The sequence below is a fragment of the Homo sapiens genome, chromosome 2, assembly GCF_000001405.40.
Source record: "Homo sapiens chromosome 2, GRCh38.p14 Primary Assembly".
Taxonomy (NCBI): Eukaryota; Metazoa; Chordata; class Mammalia; order Primates; family Hominidae; genus Homo; species Homo sapiens.
In genome coordinates this window covers 237178163-237198533 of record NC_000002.12, presented here as the reverse complement: position 1 = coordinate 237198533, position 20371 = coordinate 237178163, and the positions used below count along the sequence as shown (strand labels likewise).

Sequence of the window (20371 nt, the reverse complement as noted above, 5' to 3'; positions counted from 1 at the left end):
TAATTTTAAATTTCTTTTTCAGATGGGAAAACCTCTTTGTAGAAATTCATGAGATGTCTAAAAATATGTACACATAACATTTATTGTCCCATGGAATTTTAAAAATCAAAATAGAGATCAAGAGACATCTGTTTTTCTACCATGGAAATACCATAAATATTTCCTTAATGTACGTCATGAGCATAAGAAAGAGAAGTTCACAGTAAATGGATGGAAATGTAGATACAAGCAAATTAACCCTGAACCTCAGCTTAATAAGTGCTCTAGTTCTCAGCAGTCCTTCTATTTGTCCTAAATTCCTCCTCCACACCATTTTCTCCACATGGTGAGATGAAAAGGGTATGGGTCAAACAGGACTCCTAGTAGGAGAATGGATAGTTTTTATGTGAGAACCACCTTTTGTAATTTTCTTATTTCTGTAAAATATTACTATTTTTACACTGAGGCATGTGGATTTTATCTACAATGTTGAAAACAGAAATTTCAGCCAAGTTTAAATACAAAGATAACTGCCTATCAACATGTTTTAGGTTCACGAATAAAACACATCAATTAGCATAGGTGTGATTATTTAACTGGGCAGAAGGAGCCAAAAAGTTCATGTGGAACATCCTCTGGAAACCTAAATCTAGGGAGATTCATCAACAAACCCTTCTACTGCATAATCTCCTGTACAATGTTTCTCTTTTGCCTTAGACTACCTGTACACTTCAGTACCCAGCTGCATGGTAGAGATGACTGTTCCCCAAACTTGTAACCTCCAGCCTGTTTGTTCTACATGGGAAAATTAAAAGAGCATGGGATTTGGAGCTAGGCAAATCTGAATGCTCAGAATCAGACTTCTCCTTGACTTTGGTTAATTATACAACCTTTCTGTAATAACTGCTACTGCTGTGTGAGATAACATGTTAAACTTCTGTGGTTTGTTACAAGTATCATTTCCCTCATGCTCATGAATCTACATGTTGAGTGCAGCTTAGCTGATAGCCTGGGACTCAGTGGGCAGCCCTGCTTCACGCTGTGGTTCAGCTGGGCATGGCTCTGGGCTTTGATCAGACTCAGGTCTGCGACGCGTGTTTTATTCTAAGGTTCAGGCTTCAGGGCAGTGGCCACTCAGGGGAAGCTCTTCTAATGGCAGGTCTCAGTGCATAAGAGCCAAGCAGACTGCTCAAGCATTGAAGGCTCATTTCACATCTGCCCACTTTCCCTTGGCCAAAGCATGTCCCACGGCCAAGCCCAACATCAATGTGGAGAGGAAATATACTCCTCCCAAGGAGCTGGATGGGGGCAAAGTAGGTAAATATTTGAGAACAATAATGCAAACTATCAGACTGCTTAAAGCCCTTCTGTGAAAATCAGAGACAGCACTTCCCACCTGCTAGGGCTGCTGTGTGAGTGTTGGATAGATATGGTGTCTGTCCAGTGGGTGGGGTCAGCATTGTACTGGTCTAGTTGTCCAAACACAGGAATAATGAATCAGCTTCACTTACACACAGAGCTTTTGTGATCTAACTTCCCTGGGGCCTTTTAAAGACATGCATCTGCTGCAGTGCCTGGGGGTGCTCATCGGGCTGAGGTCCACCCTTCCCCTACCAGCTCTTTCACTTTGTTTATATCTCCTTACCTCCCCACCTGACCCTCTGTGATTAGAGGGATTTGATAGCTGAAGTTGCTTTTTTACTTTTACTTCCTAGGAGCTAAAAAAAGGCCGGGGTAGATGTTGCTTCCTTTGGTCACTTTCTTTCTTCTCTGAAATCTACCCCAAGAACAATGTTCATCCAAAGCACATCTTTGATAATGTGATGTAAATTTGGCACACAAGTGGGTTTCTTAGAGAATTTATATTATCGTTTTAATAATGGAACATTCCACAGTGACCTCTTTAAAACTTGTCTTATTTAATTCAGAGTGGTTTAGAAATCAAGCTGCTTTAGAAATAGACCAGCCTGTAGTCAGCAGCCATGAACATGACTATGAGCTCTTTAGCTGGGGACCATGTGAAGCCTGGTTTGTGAGGATGATTGGCTCATTTAAGGGCAACAAACAAATTGTTGTAGAATTGCTGGGGAGCCAGTTAGGAAGGATCTTTCCAGTGCTCTGTGATTGTCAGCAGTTCTGGTGCAATGAGGCAAAGACTGTGCTTTTGACCCTGCTCCTGTTACACCAGAGTCCATAGCTTTCAATCCATCCTGATGTGGAGGCACTGAGGTCTTTAGCTTGAAGCTTTGGTTGGACAACTGTTTGGAAAGTCTAAAATCAGGAATAGACACAGCCCGTGAAGAGCACAGTCACAATGGAGATTCTCCTCTACCCAAGCCTGGAGGATGGGGTCTGCTCGCCCCAGCGAGGAGTGAAGGTTTGGATGCTGCAATGGTCATATGGAAAAGAATGAGGCTCTTGAACCTTCGGGGGTCAAATCTTGTCTCTCCCAGGTAATGTTGTGCAGTCTCAGATATGCCACTTACTTGCTCCGAACTTCAATTTCCTCCTCTCTAAATGAACATACGAAACTTGTGGGAATTTGAGGTTATGCAGTGAAGCAACCACACAAGCCGCCATCCCAAGAGGCCATAAATCAAAGGTGTAAAGGCCCAGCTGTTGGGATCGTCCAGCTGGATCCATCTCTTACCAACTGTGTGGCCTCAGGAATGTGGCTTCGCCTGTCTGAGCCTCGGCCCCTGAGTCTGTAGAATGGAGATAATTACATCATCTGCCTTACAGGTGTTTGTGGAGGTCAGCTAAGATGATGAGGAACAGAAGGTTGCATGGCAGGTGCACAGCACGTAGTCAGTAAAGGGGAACCTTATGACATGGACCACTGTCTGGAGGAGGAAGGGCACAGACAACATATCAGAGCTTGGACCAGGGCTTGGACTAGACTTCACTGAGAATCATGGGATCCCAGGGGGAAGGCAGGCTTGACTCAGGTGGCCAAACAGCTGTCTCAAGAAAGGCCTCTCCAGGTTGCATTGCTGATAGAAGACAGAGCTAGCCAGTTTGCTCTACCCCCTAAAGTAGGCTCCTCTCCTGCACAGTGTTTTCATATGCCTCAGGGCCATGTGACACTGAAGACAGCCCCTGAGTGCAACGTCTTTAGGACATCCGCACAAAGCTGCCCTGAACATGCACCTCGAAGACCATCTGGGAGCCTGCCAGAGCTTGGGCAAAAACCTGTAGAGAGTGCCCACATGCTGGTAAGGCAGAGGCTAACTGTTTTTCCATGGAGATGGAGTCCGGCTCTGTCTCACTAAACCCTGATGCCTTGTTCTGGAAAAGCATTCCTGGCCTTTTGTTTCTCCACTTTCCTTGCAGGGAGGTTGCTGTCATTTCCCTCTATTTTTTTTCCCAACATTTATCCTCAGGCAGAACACAGTCACATGCCAGTGGCTGCAGCCCCACACTGGGGGTTTCAGTTGCAGGTGGGAGGTGGGGAGCATGCCAAGAAATGCCAGCCCCAGGGCGAACGAGGGAGGGCTAGCTGGGGAGCACCCCCTCCCCACCCATAGCCACAGCTGGAGCCCCTGAAGCCCATCTCCAGGGCTAGATCAGGGACTTTTCCAGGCAGCCGAACCCTACAGGCATTTTCATACTGCGACCTGACGCCTTTCAAGGGTTGTGCTCCTGGGTGACTCTAGCTCAGCTACACCTAGACTGTCTGTTGCTGGCAGACTCACTCCTTCAACTGATACTTTCTAAATTTCTATCAGGTGCCAGGCAAGACCCACCTAGTCCCTGCCGTCATGGAACACACGGGCTAGGGGAAACAGACATTAGTAAAAAGTCATACAAATAACAGAGCAATCAGTGCTGCGAAGAAAAGTACAGGGAGCCACGAAACCATCTAACAGGGGCCTGGATTTATTGCAGGGAGACTGAGAAAACTTTTCTAAGAAGGTGGAATTTTAGCTGAGGCCTGGAGCATTCATGTGTTCATTCATACAGTGTGTGTGCTTGGGTTTTCTGGAACAGAACCAAAGGTGGGAAGCTGCCTGAAGAAGGTTTACTGAGAATTGCACCCAGGAGACCCCCACGTACTGGAAGGGGGAGGCAGGAATGGACACAGTGGGAGCTGGCCCATGGATGAGGCTGCAAATAAAGCCCAACAAAACCTGCCCGTAGCTCTGCAGCTGGGAGGGTCTCTCAAGGTTGTCCCAGCTTGGGCCAGGGATTGTGCCTCCATGTTCTGTGTCCCCAGGCTGCCAGGCATTGGCTGTGGAACACCTTTGGGAGCAGGAGAACTCTGAGTCAGGCAGCTCCTCAGGGGAGTCCCCGGCAGGGTATGCGGCCAGGAGCCATCAGCAGCCCATGCTCCCAGCAGCCCATGCTCCCAGCAGCTGGGGCAGGTGAGTCCCTCCAGGCGACGGAGGCTGGGCCCAGCCCCATGGCACCACTGCATCAAACAAACCCTCACTGAGACCTGCCATGGGTGGAATGCTCTTCTTCATGTCTTACACCAGCTGTGAAGAGAGAGAAGGTTTTCTGTCCTCATGCCACCCACATTCTTGGGGCTGAGCTGGAGTGAAGTGGGCCGCAGAGGGAGAAAGCACCCCGTGAGGTAAAGCCAAATGTGTGCAGGTGGAGCTGGGTAGCTGGTGGAACCATGCAGCCGGCAGAGCCAGTCATGACCCCTGTAGGCCTGGTACATGTCCCTGGTCTATGATCGCTGGAGTGGCCCAGGGCAGGGTCCTGAGACTGCTTCTCTGTCCCCTCTCCCCTAAAACCCAGATGATCTCATCCAGCCTCAGGACTTGGAATATCCTCAAGGGCTGATGGTTCTCAAGTATTAGCCCCCGGCTCCTCTCCCCTGAGCCCTGCCTGTGTCTGCACCTACCTGTGTGTGCACCTACCTGTGTCCGCACCTACCTGTGTCTGCACCTGCCTGTGCCTGCACCTGCCTATGTAATGCCCCCTCTCTGGTGGGCTTACACACACAGCACACTTAACACGTGTAAAACTGAGCTCCTCATCACCCGTCCCTGCAAACCTGCTCATCCCGTAGCCTTCTGCTTCTCAGCTGAGGGAAAATCCGTTCTTCCAGGGGATCCGGCCAGAAAGCCTCACTTCCACCCTGTCATCTCTGCCCTCACATAAAGTCCAGAATCTGACCACCTTGCCATCTCCACCACCTCCACCACAGCCCAAGCCTCCATCAGCGTTGGCTCTGGCCTGGATTCTTACAGCAAGCTTCTTACTGAGTTCCCATTTCTGCCTCTGCCCCCATCAGTCTGTTCTCAACGAGCTCTCACTGCGATTCTGCTACACACATTTCAGGTGATGCCATTTTTCTCCTCAAAACCCAGCAATGTCTTCCATTGCATTCAGGAAATAGCCAAAGCCCCTGCAGTGCCCCGCACCATCCTGCTGCCAGCACCGACAATGCTCACCTTGCCTCCTGCAACCTTCCCTCACTCGCCCACTCAGGCCGGGAGCTCGCCATGCAGCTGCTCACACATGACAGGCGCAGTCCTACCTCAGGGCCCTTGCACGGGTGGCTCCCCCAGAGCATCCTTTCCCAGCTGGCAGCTTGGCTCCTTCCTTGCCCTGGCAGGGCATGCTTAGAATTACCCCTGGGTGAGGGCTCCCTCTGCTTCCTTGCTGCAGTTTAAACATCACCCCCTGCTCTGCTCTTCACGCCCACTTTTCCTGCTTGTTGTACTCAGTTATTTTATTTATTGTCCATCTTTCCTATTAAAATATAAGCTCTGTTGAGAGGAGAGGGATTTTTAAAAAATGATTTGATTCCTATTCTATTCCCAGTACCTGGGAAACCCCTTAGTGGGCTTTTTTTGTTGTTGTTTGTTTGTTTGTTTTTTAAGATGGAGTTTCGCTCTTGTCACCCAGGCTGGAGTGCAATGACATGATCTTGCTCACTGCAACCTCCGCCTCCCGGGTTCAAGCGATTCTCCTGCCTCAGCCTCCCGAGTAGCTGGGATTACAGGCATGTGCCACCATGCCCTGCTAATTTTTTGTATTTTTTTTTCAGTAGAGATGGGGTTTCATCATGCTGATCAAGCTGATCTCGAACTCCTGACCTCAGGTGATCTACCTGCCTCAGCCTCCCAAAGTGCTGGGATTACAGGCATGAGCCACTGCACCCAGCCAGATAGTGGGTTTTCAATACACAGTTAGTATCTAAAAGAATGACTTGATTGCCTAAATCTCTTTGGGGGAAATGACAGCATTTGAACTGGAGCTCAATACCTCACGTGAGCAGAGGGATGTGCTATACAGCAGCCCCTCCTGAGACAGAGCTCAACGTACAGCACCTGGGACCACCAGGTGCTCAGAATCTGTAGGAATCCAGGATGCACTGCCTTCTTTTTGATATTTGGTGACCGACATGGGGAAGATTTGGGCTGCTTGGAATACTTCTGGATTGTTTCACTGAATGGACTTCATGCTGAGCTTGGACAGCTGAGGCCCAAGTTTTGCTTGAGTTAAATCACAGACAGAACTTAAAGATGCCTCACAGACCCTCACTGCCGAGCCGCTGTGTTGAAGGGGAAGGTGAGGCAGGGAGGGGTATTTCCCAGCCCGGGTCTGGTCATGGGAAATCCCATCCCCGGGGGCGGTGGGAGTAAGAAAGAGGAGCCAGCTTCTGAGGAGGGGCTGAGTTCCTCCTTCCCCGCATCCCACAGGCTGGTCTTAATCACAGAGAACTTGAAAGGAAGAACAGTCAGTCCTGTGAGCAGATGGGGCAGCCCGGCCTACAGTGGCAGTGGAGCCACCGTGAGGGCTGTGACTGCTCCAGCCCTTGGTGTAGATTGAGGCCAGACACTGCCTTCACTCTAAGTTTTATACAGTCAGAAAAACAGATTCCATTTTTACAGCAGAATATATATAAATTTCTAGTTATGAGTATTCTGAAAAACAGACTATTTCCTCTAGTGAAATAAAAAAGTGGAATTTGTCAGCCTTTAGCTGAACTTCTCTGAAAACAGCTTGGTTTGTGAGCTTGGATATATGTCCAAGAAGAGATATCTATGAGGTCCAGCCAGCTGGCCTTGAAAGAAATCCTCGGGGCTAGATTTACAGAAGCTTCCTTCTCCTCCTGTTAACAAGATAAGTCAGCAACTGGACTTTTGCGTTTCCTGAAGATGGAGGGCGACTTCCAAACTATTTGTTTTCTGGGATTCTGTCATAACACACATTTTATTCTCAAAACCTATGAAATTAATTTTTCCAACTTGTCTGACACCCTGAAAAACAGAACTGAAATTAGATATTGAGGCAATACCAAAGGCACTTGGAGAGCTGTAAGGGTGCTGCTGTCTCTGCCTGGCTGAGAGCAGAGAAGATCGTTTGTTGGGGAAGGCCCTCACGTGGATGGGCCCTGTGGGCGCAGAGCACAGCCTGCTGCTCAGGGGTTGGGCTGCCTCTCCCACTGGTCTTCTAGCCTGGAATATTCGCTCCAATTCTCAGGAAGCAAGGCTCCATCAACCTGATCCAAGAACACAAGAGTCTCCCTGGCCAGGGCAACACCCCACTGACTTACAATCTGGTCCTGCTATTAAGGGATGAGATGTTTTCCTTATGATCCCAGAACTGGCCATTTCTCCAATTAAGTGACAAGAGCTGAGAAGACTTTCTATTCAGATGTTGAGAAAAGTAAAAGCACAGGACTCTGGCCTGGGCACATGGCTCACACCTGTAATTCCAGAAATTTGGAAGGCTGAGGTGGGAGGACTTCTTGAGCCTAGGAATTTGAGACCAGCCTGGGCAACATAGCAAGATCCCATCTCTACCAAAAACCAGAAAAATTAGCTGAGTGTGGTGGTGCCAGCCTGTGATCCCAGCTACTTGGGAGGCTGAGGCTGGTGGATTGCTAGAGCCCAGGAGGTCAAGGCTGCAGTGAGCTGTGATGGTGCCACTGCACTCTAGCCCAAGTGACAGAGCAAGCCCCTGCCTCAAAAAACAAAACAAAACAAAACAACAACAACAACAACAAAAAACATGGGAGTCCATACCTACAGGAAGAAGGCCCTGGACATGGCTGAGGACACAAATCCTTCAGTCCACCCTGATGAGGTAGTTTCAGGCAGATAACTAGGGGGCTTCAGCCTCCAGCCATGCTTGGGAGGCCCAGGAGAGCTGCCTGTGGCTTTTCTCCATCACCCTCACTCCAACCGTCCATGCCCATAAATTATTGCAAATAACATCTCAATATTCCAGGACCAAGGACTGTTGTCAGTAGGTGCCTACAGAGAAGCAAATGCACCTCCCTGACCTCAGAGATGATTTTCCTCCACTAAGGGAAAGCCTTTCCATCCACCAGGCTCCAGGATGCAGCCAACAGTAAGGGGAAAATTTGAACCCTCCCTCAGTCACCTTGGGGAGCTACAGGGGACTCCGTGACAGAATTCCAGCCCTCTAGGCATTCAAGACTTGATTTCCAATGGGAGGAAAATCTCAGGCCTAAAGTTCATCTTCTGTATTCATAAGCATGACTGCTAGATTTTCTCAGCCTCTGTGGGGAGATGATCCTTAAAAGTGTGATTTGACTTCTTTAAAAAGGAGAGATAGTGAAGCCCCAGACGGTGCAACTTGCCTAAAATAATATGGTGAATCGCAGAGGGAATAAGAAGGAAAACATCATCCCCAGACTTGCCGCCCAGTTTTTAGCCCAGGAGAATATTTTTCTTTTCTTATTAAAAGAAAGACACGAATTAAAAGGAATCCATGTAATCCTATGAAATGTACTTCACTGAGAATATTGCTCTATTTAAAAAGCATGAAGTGGTGGCTCTAGGAGAGAACTTGCCCATCTTAAATGCATTTATATGGAATAAAATTAGATGGATTTTACAGGTGGAAAAAGATTTTGTGCACTTACAGACTAGTTCATTTTTTGTTTATTCAGATAGAAATATTTCAACTTCCTATCATACACAAAACATCATATGTGTAAATAATTTCTTTACCAAATTGTTAACATTAACCTTATAAAAGGTACTCAGATATGTTAGCCAGAAATGGAAGAGAGAATACACACAAACAAAACTGGAAATAAAAGAGAAAAATCATTAAGTAAAACTTTTGGGTCAGAAGATCATTTTGCACAACTCCCTGCAAATAAATTAGGGTTAATATGAGGTTTTTTTTTATTATACTTTAAGTTTTAGGGTACATGTGCACATTGTGCAGGTTAGTTACATATGTATACATGTGCCATGCTGGTGCCCTGCACCCACTAACTCGTCATCTAGCATTAGGTATATCTCCCAATGTTATCCCTCCCCCCTCCCCCCACCCCACCACAGTCCCCAGAGTGTGATATTCCCCTTCCTGTCTCCATGTGATCTCATTGTTCAGTTCCCACCTATGAGTGAGAATATGCGGTATTTGGTTTTTTGTTCTTGCGATAGTTTACTGAGAATGATGATTTCCAATTTCATCCATGTCCCTACAAAGGACATGAACTCATCATTTTTTATGGCTGCATAGTATTCCATGGTGTATATGTGCCACATTTTCTTAATCCAGTCTATCATTGTTGGACATTTGGGTTGGTTCCAAGTCTTTGCTATTGTGAATAATGCCGCAATAAACATACGCGTGCATGTGTCTTTATAGCAGCATGATTTATAGTCATTTGGGTATATACCCAGTAATGGGATGGCTGGGTCAAATGGTATTTCTAGTTCTAGATCACTGAGGAATCGCCACACTGACTTCCACAATGGTTGAACTAGTTTACAGTCCCACCAACAGTGTAAAAGTGTTCCTATTTCTCCACATCCTCTCCAGCACCTGTTGTTGCCTGACTTTTTAATGATTGCCATTCTAACTGGTGTGAGATGGTATCTCATTGTGGTTTTGATTTGCATTTCTCTGATGGCCAGTGATGCTGAGCATTTGTTCATGTGTTTTTTGGCTGCATAAATGTCTTCTTTTGAGAAGTGTCTGTTCATGTCCTTTGCCCACTTTTTGATGAGGTTGTTTGTTTTTTTCTTGTAAATTTGTTTGAGTTCACTGTAGATTCTGGATATTAGCCCTTTGTCAGATGAGTAGATTGCGAAAATTTTCTCCCATTTTGTAGGTTGCCTGTTCACTCTGATGGTAGTTTCTTTTGCTGTGCAGAAGCTCTTTAGTTTAATTAGATCCCATTTGTCAATTTTGGCTTTTGTTGCCATTGCTTTTGGTGTTTTGGACATGAAGTCCTTGCCCATGCCTATGTCCTGAATGGTAATGCCTAGGTTTTCTTCTAGGGTTTTTATGGTTTTAGGTCTAACGTTTAAATCTTTAATCCATCTTGAATTGATTTTTGTATAAGGTGTAAGGAAGGGATCCAGTTTCAGCTTTCTACATATGGCTAGCCAGTTTTCCCAGCACCATTTATTAAATAGGGAATCCTTTCCCCATTGCTTGTTTTTCTCAGGTTTGTCAAAGATCAGATAGTTGTAGATATGTGGCGTTATTTCTGAGGGCTCTGTCCTGTTCCATTGATCTATATCTCTGTTTTGGTACCAGTACCATGCTGTTTTGGTTACTGTAGCCTTGTAGTATAGTTTGAAGTCAGGTAGTGTGATGCCTCCAGCTTTGTTCTTTTGGCTTAGGATTGACTTGGCGATGTGGGCTCTTTTTTGGTTCCATATGAACTTTAAAGTAGTTTTTTCCAATTCTGTGAAGAAAGTCATTGGTAGCTTGATGGGGATGGCATTGAATCTGTAAATTACCTTGGGCAGTATGGCCATTTTCACGATATTGATTCTTCCTACCCATGAGCATGGAATGTTCTTCCATTTGTTTGTATCCTCTTTTATTTCCTTGAGCAGTGGTTTGTAGTTCTCCTTGAAGAGGTCCTTCACATCCCTTGTAAGTTGGATTCCTAGGTATTTTATTCTCTTTGAAGCGATTGTGAATGGGAGTTCACTCATGAGGTTTTTGACTTGAGGAATTTTTTTACCCTGATGATATTTTGAATAGAAACATTTAAATCAGAGTCACAAGAGCACTGATGGATTTATTGTGAAATAGTTATTTCCTAGAGTCAATTCCATTAGAAATATAATTCTTTGTTCAATTTCCTATACATCAAAATGAAATGCTCTTCCTTTTTTTTTCTATTCTCATTTTACTGAAAATATTTTTCTCAAGGCCAATTTTCTTCATTTATGTGGAAAGGTTTATCCTGAAGATCACTATCTGAATCCTCAACTAATGTTAAGCTCACCTGTCATTGTTTCTGATATTATAAATTTGCCTTTTGTGGCCATTATCCATTGTTTCTATCCAGTCTTATTTTTATACCAAATTTTGAATGTCTAAATTTAGGAAGGAAGATTTGTTTTTTGCAAATCTTAAAATTAAAAAAAAAAAGCATAAAGTGGTGCATCCAGGAGAGAACTTGTCAATTTTAAATGCATTTATATGGATTCACCGTACTATTTTAGGTAAGTTGCACTGTCTAGGTCTTTACTGTCTCACCTTTTTAAAGAAGCCAAATCATACTTTTTTTTAAGGATCATCTCCCACAGAATGATATGCTTTAAATGTTTCTATTCAACGTTTCAGTCAATAACAACTTTTACACTGTATGGTTTTAGTTGTCAGTTTAATTTTGTGTTAATTTTTCTGCAAATGTTATGACTATAAATTAGATAAAGGACTTCTGTGAATTTGAAGATCTATAACAACATTTCAAGCAAGGTTTTTTTTGAGAGAGAGAAAAGATTAAGATTAAAAGATGAAGATAGAAGAGAAAGGGAGGGAGCTGGAGAAAAATCAGAGACATACATAGAATTTGAGTCAAAAGAGACAGAAAGTCTGCAGATAGAGTGAAAAATCTCTAGGGCTAAAAGTATAGTCAAAGGGCAGGTTTGCATGTTGGGGTGAAAAGATGGAGTCAAAAGAATGCTTTCTGCTTCACTTTTGTCCACTCCATGATGAGGGAAGCATATTATTTCCTTAATGTTTGTGATAACATATTCTCCTGGCTTTCTGCCTGACTTTACTGACATTTCTCACTTTCTTGTAGGCTCATCTTCTTCTGCCTAGATATTTCATATTGATTGCTGAATGCTTCGTCCTAGTTGCTCTCCTACTCAGAATATACAGTTCACCGTGGCTGAGCTCATTCACACCCATGACTGCAAAAGCCATGGGCCTGCCTTATGAATATCTCTCAAATCAGTCGAATTCTCTTCATCTCTATTGGCATTACCCTGGTCAGTGTTACCCTGCTCATTGCTCACCTAAACTCCTGCAACAGTGTTCTAATGTATAACACCCACCCGCATCTGTCTGATTCCCTGCTTACCCATGGCTGCCAATTCTTCACCACAGGGAAGCAAAATGAGCTTTCAAAATCCCCTTTGGAGATCCCAATTACACATATATTGGAAGAATATTTGAAGAAATATATTTGAAGAATAATATTGAAGAAATGGACAGAAATTATCAAAACCAATGAAAATTGAGACCCAAGAAGCTCAACAAATTCAAGAACAAAAGCCATAAAAAGTACTACACCCCAAAATAAGCTCAAATTGTTTTAAACGAGGGATTTAAAGTGTTGAAAGGCAGCCAGCTTTTCTCATCAGCCAGAATGATCTTATTTCATCTTTACCACTTTCCCAGGACCTCAGTGAAAATTTACCCAACATAAAGAGCACCTTTGTCCCTAACGTTACTTATAATTGCTTCTTAAATAGATAACAATATGTCTTGGAAAATTGAAAAGTAAGTGTTGGCTTTCAAACAACTCTCTCTAAAGATGTTCCCAGAGGGGATTAAGGGTGAAAGAGAGAAGTAACAGTGAAATACTGAGGGCGTGAGTCCTGTGAGACAAACAGGAACCATCCAGCTATTGTGCTTATTCGCCCATCTCAACATGAGAAACAATAGATAAGTTCCTTTTCTTTCCTCATTTCTTCATAGTCAAAGAAGATACACGTAAGAGATGTGGAGTTTCATCAACAGCACGGTTTGAAATTGAGTGTCTTAAGTATCAGGGGACGTGTCAGGCTCCGTACATGAATTATCAGATAAATTTCAAAAATTACTCTTTGGGGAGGACATAGTTACCACCTCCGTTTGCAGATGAAAAAAATAAAATCTCAGGAAACTTACACAACTGGTTAAAGATAACACATCTGAAAGTGTCAGCGTTTGCATGAAAACCCCAGTCCGTCTGACATCAGAGCCTCAAATCTGTGCTCCGGATGCAGTCAGCTTTGAGATCTGCGGCTACAGGTGTGCTATCCGGTGCTCTCTTGTCTTTATAGACTTTTCTAGGATATATGAAAATACAAAGTACTACTCTGGAATATTTGGTTAAATTCCACTTGGATAACAAAATTTTAAAAGCAGACATCCAAGTTCAGCTCCTAAGAAGGAAGGCTGAACACCCCCCAAATTAACCCGTGTAACTCCCTTTTCAAATCCATAGTCCTTCTCCTTCCCTACATTCCAGACGGATCTCAAATGTGGAAGATGGAACTGAAGCCCTGCTCACTGCTAGGCTGAGCATCAGGCTGCATTCTTGAGGAGTGGCCAATTTATTTCCTGACCTGAAGCAAGGATATCTTTTAATTTTTTTTCTCTTCATTTCCTCAGTTTGAATACTCCCAAGAAGAAGAGCTAATCCACGTGTTGGTACAATCTCTTCTGGAACAAAGGAACTGGAGCAGATGGGAAGTGTTTGATAGGAAGTTGTTTATCCTTGCCGAATAGCCCCAAAACAAATCGATAATGGTGGGAGTTTTTCTCTGGCATGTTCAATAATGACTCCACGTCCCAAGTGATCTGTGCCGCTCTCTCATCTACACCGCGGGTGCCACACCCTTCCGTAGCTGAGGGTTTCATGTCCTCTCCCTCCTTGCTTCTGCCTTATCAAAACCTGGTCTCAGAAAAAGAAAGTCTGTTCCCAGTCAATGAGTATAATTTTGTTTAAATGTCATTGCCCCTTTTCCTCTTTGAGTTAGGCAATTCAGTTTCCTCTTTGAGTTAGGTTTGGTAAAAAGTTTTGTCTCCTGTGTAAATAATTTAGCTGTATGCTAACTGGAGGAGCTACCAAGTGTACCAGTGGTGGCCACTTACTGCATTCAGTGAGGGCCTCCTCTTTCCACTCCCTTCGTGACTAAGAGTGAGGGAATCAGAGGTGACTCACATTAGGCCTTTACTGTATATCTCAGTATACTTAAGAATGTTGACCTTAACCTCGGCAAGGGCGGAGAGACGCATGGTCCACAGCAGCGCATCTCCAGAGCCTGGACCGAGCTGAGAGCATGCAGAGCCTCCATAACTGGTCAGAGGAACTGAACTCCCGGCCCCAAAAAACCCTATACACAGCAAAGGAGAGGCATAGATGGGAGGTAACCTCTTCTTAGAAACAGCAAAATGATGTGCAAAAGAGACAGAGACATCCTACAAAACTCTATTTACTTTTCTCATATTTGAGGGGAAAAAAACCATTCAGAAACCCTTCCCTGAAAATTAAGGCCTGGACCCAAGTGGAGATGGAAACCTTTGATTCCAACTGACCCTACTGCTGTGTTCACAAGGACAGGACCACGTGATTACTCCGGGATCCCTGAACACACAGGTGGGGAAGTTGGAGAATTTGGGGGAAAGGAGGTGGAAGGTTGTGAGGAGAATGGGATGGACTTCTTTGGAGGCTATTAACTCTGTGTCATTGGCAGCAGATGGGCTCAGTGCACACTGAGAAGTGGCTGGGGGATGGTGCTTGCACCCGAAACTGTGGAGAACCAGTCAAGTTATACTTACTGGTTTATTTCTTTAGATATTATTTGGCCTCTTGGTTAGATTGCCAAGGGGGAAAGGTCGTGTACTGTAAGGGAAATCAGGGAAATGTCTGTCAGCTCACACAGGTTTCTCCTGAAGTTTTTCCTAAGGGCTGGACAAACACCCGGGTCCAAAATTTCTGGACTTCTTGGGAAGCGGTGCATTCTTAGAGTTTCTGTCTTTGTTTGTTTGGATAATAAGCATTTAATCACAAGACACTACTCTAAATGCTTTCAAATATTAATTGACCTTCAGAACCTACTAGTATCACCTGCATTTTACTGATGAGGAAATCAAAGCCTAGAGACAGAAGCCGACTTCACAAGAACACAGCACTAGTAAGTGGAGAGCCGGGATTCAAACCTGAGTCCACACTTGTAGCCGCCATGCTGTGCTGCCGTTCTCAGCACTGGATCGTAGATGTCCCTGCCCACAAGGTGAAACTTCTACCCACTTTGTTCACCTCCACCAAGAAAAAATTTTTGCTCTTTTGTGCCCACTGGCAGAGAGATTGTCCATTTGAATTTATTTCCACAGAGATCAGTCAGAATAGGCTAGGTTATTCTACAGGTACGACCCCAAACTCCAGTGACTTACAACTCACTAGCTAGCCAACAAGCTAACCTAAGTAAGCAATAAGACGGAAAAGTCGCTACCTGGGGCATTGCTGGTCTTGGGCAGGATGTGGCGGAAGCAGTCAGTCCCCCACCTCTGTTCCCTCAGCCCTCACTGTTCCCTTCCACGCGGACAGCCTTCTGTTGCAGGGGCTCACAACCTTCCGCCTGCAGAGAGTCGTCAGCCAGAAGCATGTCCATCCATGGCATGAGGCAGGCCAGGACTTCATGCAGGGAGTTAACACCCTGGAAGCCACCCTAAGCCAATGGCGGGTAGGAGGTGGTGGTCCAGTCCCCAGGCTCCTTGCCCCTTCAGGCCAGCTGCATACAGCTTCCCCATGGGGCTGAGTTTCCATTGCCCATCATGGAAACTTGCTCACTAACATGCCCTGTAGCTGCTTCTTCTGTGTCCACAGTGGACTGTGAAGTCCCACAGTCCCATGACGTGAACCTCTCTCCTATGCCAGACTTCCCTGCCTGGTTGGTAGGGCTGAGGGATGTTGCTGAGGCACAGTCGTTCCCATGTAGATCATCCTGGACGTTCCAGCTGCTTGTGCTGCACACATGCGGCTATGATTATGACGCAGAGGGGGACATCCCCAACACGACTGGCCTCGGAGCATGTTCTCCCTGAACCCATAAACCTATGAGTTTTGATCTGGACGTTTTGTTCTGCGATGTTGCAGATCATTTCCCAGAAACTGGGAGACTTTTTTACATAACTCAAACTTCACTTCTGTGCTGGGGAGAGCTTAGTGATAAATAAATAGCACATGCCACAGTTCTTCTCATACTCTACCTTTATCTGGCCTAGACCCAGTGGCTGTGGGGTGGCCACATTTCCCCAGGTGGAGGAGACAAGTTTTCCTAGCATTTGCTGTGGGCAGAGCTGGCAGTCAACTCACCATCTCTGTCCAGGACCGGGGGGTTTCTCGTATAAGCAGCACCAAGGTTTGGGCTTTTTCTCTCTTGGAAAAAGTCATGATTAAAAACCTATTAACTCCAGGAATGATTGTAGATTTTTTTTTTCCCACAGCCCTTGGCCTGAGGAATGATCCAATTGTAGCTTCCCTGACCTGACCTCAAGAAAGATGCAATCCTCCTGTATGACATCAAAGCTTCGTTTGCTCCCACAGCTCTCACCCGCGACTTCCCTAACTCCCAAGGCTTCCCCTAAGCTGTGGAGGACTTCAGCAGTGAGTCATCAGTGATCTGAACTCTCTGATCTCTTGCTATGTTTGGGGCCCTCCCTCTGTCTCTGAAGACTTTTAGTGACAACCCAGAAATTAAGAACTTTCCCCTATGCTTTTATGTTTTCTAATATCACATAGCAAAGAGCTACACAGCAGCATTTGAGTCCAAATGCTACTTAATCTGAATGATCACTTGCCAATCTCTAAGTGTTATTTGGAGCATCACATAGAGCAATAACAACAAGTGCTCATTCTTTTCCACTAAGAGGGTCCCTTGCATAAGGACCCCTTTTCCTCAGTATTCATTATGAAGGGTGTTCAAAAAAGTGTTTTCAGAAGTCTGTAAATGTTCTACAAAAATTTTTATTTGTGCATTTTTTTTTTATTTTTTTAGAGAGGTCTTGCTATATTGTCCAGGATGGTCTTGAACTCCTGACCTCAAGCAATCCTTCTGCCTCTGCCTCCCAAAGTGCTGGGATTACAGGCACTAACCACCATGCCTAGCCTGAATATTTTTTTTTAATTTGAAGATTTTACTTTTATAACTTTGGCATACTGAAAAAAATAATATGGTTGTAAAGTTTTGTTCTTTCTCCCATTGAGAGACAGAGTCTATTTCTCCCTGGAAGCTAAACTTGGTCACACCACTTGTTTTGGCCAATAAGTCACTAGCAAATATGGCATGAGCAGTAGCTTGAGAAAGGTTGTCCCCTTAGGGTTTGTCTTCTCTTGCTGACTTTGGAACCCAGCAGCCATGGGAAGAAGGTAGGGCTGGTCAGCTAGAAGCTGGACTTATGCCATCCCAGCCAACTGCCAAACACATGAGTGAGGCCATCTAGGATCCAGTGACCACAGCCACCTAAGAGGGCTATGGCAAGTCTAGTAGAAGAACTGCCCAACTGTGCTCAGCTTGAATTGCCAATCCACAGAATTACGAGCTAATGAATAAGCGTTGCTTTAAATCACTAAGTTTTTTGGGGTAGTTTCCTACTTAGTGAAACCTGAGATGATGATAACATAACGAAATGAGCATAAGCATCTCCTGGAGCATGTGTATAACCACCTTATGCTGACGCTGTCACACGCTTCCTATGTGCATGTTTGAGATTGTGTCTATGATCTTATTAATTGCATTCACTTTGCTTATAAACTAATGAGATAAGAGCAGTGCATGTAACACATTTGTTCCAAGTGAGGTAAATGAAGTCCCAGCCCTTTATACAAACGGGGTAAGAGGTGAAATGGGGAAACTGGGAGAATTGGTGAAGAAGTCAGTCATAATGAGGCACACAATTTTTCCACAAATCATAATTTTGTCCATGTGGTTTTATAAAGGAACTTGAGCCATTAAGTATAAGGAATTTGTACCTATGCTTTTTTTTTACATGTTCATGTGCTTAAATAACATGATAATAAATGCATATTTAAATAACATTAAAATGGAAGTAATTTAATACATTTTGGGAGTCAGCAAGCATTTTTCCTTTGAGAACAGTTCATGCACGAGTCAAGACTGAAGAACACTGCTATATTGTGTAAGATTAACTCAGGAAGAGACAGCGGCCAAGAGGCTCCCAGGAAAGGGAATAGGACCCGGGCTCGGGCAGCTGGGTTTCATGTTTATGTTGGGTCTTTCTCGGTTTTCTCAGTGGCTTGTAAAGTTTGAGATGCAAAATCTGTTACATATACCCTTCATTATCATCTACTGAGGAACACATCTATTATAACTTTTAATATGACCAGTTATCTAATCTCTATTAGATTAAATAGTCCCCACAAATCCAGCATCTCCTCCCTTCGCCTCACGGCTTAAAACTGGATTTCCTCATGTATATGCCTTGGCCCGCAAGTTCCCACCTTCAAAGCTTCCATGACACACCAGTCCCTCAGCCATCCATGGAGGCTTCCCCACTGACTTGGCCCAGTTCACCCGGCCTCCAGCAGGCTTCCTTCCTTCCTCCCATAGTCAGCCTCTTGTCCTAGTCTCAGAAGCAGTAGGGTGTTCTCCAGTTGCGAAGGTTCTGCCTCTTCTTGAGGATGTGGTGTCCCCTCTGACAATCCTAGGTACGTTTTGAGATCACCCCCTGATCCCATGCCCTTCTCTCTGATTAGGGGCTGCCTGTGGTTCATGTCTTCCTGACAGCTCACTTAGTTGGGCCCTCCCCGGAGAGCACAGGCCTCCTCTCCTTCCTTGGGCCCCTTCTAGTTTTCCATCTTCCATTGCTCACAACCCTGGACATGGGGCCCTGTTGCTTGTGTGCCAATTTTACATCTCATTTTGGGCTAATACATTATTTTTTTAACACATGCTTTAGATTTTTTTGAGTGAGGGCCCCAAAGTCATGGATACGAAACCAGTGAGATCTGGGTCTCCCAATATTAATCACTGTTTAAACAAAGTCGAGCCCACCTTCCCTCCCAGAGTAGTAACATCTAATGTCCAAATTGGACCTAGACTTGACCTCTCCTGCTTCCAATGGGCACTGGAAGCATCTTACCTCCTCCGGGCCCTACTTAGTAACCAACTCATCAGAGACAGAGGGAACATAGGTTTATTGCATAAATCAAGACACTTTCGGGTATGAAAGGGAATATAAAAAATTGTGCTGTAACAACAAGTACAAATGAAGACATAAAGTCAAATAGGTTATTTGTCAGCATCTTAGTCAGCAAGGACTCTAGAAGATGCGTCAGTTATTTTTGTAATCGAGGTGAAATTTATGTACAGCAAAATGCACATAACTTTAGTGTATACTTCATTGACCTTTGACAGACATATATACCTGCGGAGCCAATACCCCATCAAGACAAACCATCTCCATCCTCCAGAGGGTCCCTTTATGTCCCTTCCATTTAATCTCTCCCCGTGGCAACCACAGTTCTGAATTCTATCAGCCTCTTCTTGAGATATGCTAAGGCTTTCTAGATCTTCTATTTTCACTGACTTTTAATTCAATTCTGTTGTGACCATAAAACAGGCTCTATAACATTTCACTCAAAATTTTTATTTTGACTTAGTTCATGGCCCAGCATAGGGACCTTCTTGGAAAAAAAAAACCCACATGCATTCAAAAGCAATGTGTTCTGCAGTGAATAGATGGAGTTTTCTATAAATGCCAACTGATTCAAGTGGTTTGAAAGTGTTGTTCAAAGAATCTATATCTTTTCTGATACGATGTCTATTTTTTCCAAACTGTCACACTTTGCTCATACGAAGAGCAGCTGTTTTGAAGTTTTGGGTTCCCGAGTGAGTCAACCAACAACCTTTCCATTCCCTGTCCTTATGTTTATTTACCTTAGGCTGTAGAATTATGCCAGATGTTAGTCATGTCTCTGTCTGGAATGTATACAGAGAGACATACAGCACTCAGAACTCCTAAATTCTAGACCACCTGTTTACACAGGCAGTCCTGTAAAATGAGCGGTGATGCCCAAATCCCGCTGTTTACTCCTTCTCCCCACTGTGGCCCTTCCAAGGGAATGATTCACATGAGGATCCACAGCCAATGGGAACAGCACGGGGTCAGGAGAGCTAGAGATAGCAATCTTCCCCAGCCCCATGAGATGCCAGGATGCCCCCATCGACACCAAGTTAGAGGATGTGGCTTAGGAAAGGTGCTCCCACCTCACACTCATTGTCTGTAGAGGAGACTTGAAGTCCACCTGGCCAGCTGGGAGGCAGAACTGAGCAAGGGACCCTGATCTAAGCCGCTGATGTTCTTGACTCCCAAGGCAGGAAGGCAGAGGAGGAGTGAGGCGAGGGGAGCCTGCCCACCTCTACTGACCCATATTGTCTGACTCAATGTGGGCTTCTGTAAC

At 44.8% G+C, this 20371-nt stretch overlaps 1 annotated feature.

The window, feature by feature from the left end:
* Nucleotides 13348-14547: an enhancer, noted in NCBI's record as "P300/CBP strongly-dependent group 1 enhancer chr2:238092630-238093829 (GRCh37/hg19 assembly coordinates)". NCBI's record gives its function as "activates an origin of replication core promoter dependent on BRD2, BRD4, P300/CBP, MED14 and CDK7 cofactors, with strong dependence on P300/CBP, by STARR-seq in HCT116 cells {active_cell/tissue: HCT116}" and the evidence as "EXISTENCE:reporter gene assay evidence [ECO:0000049][PMID:35650434]".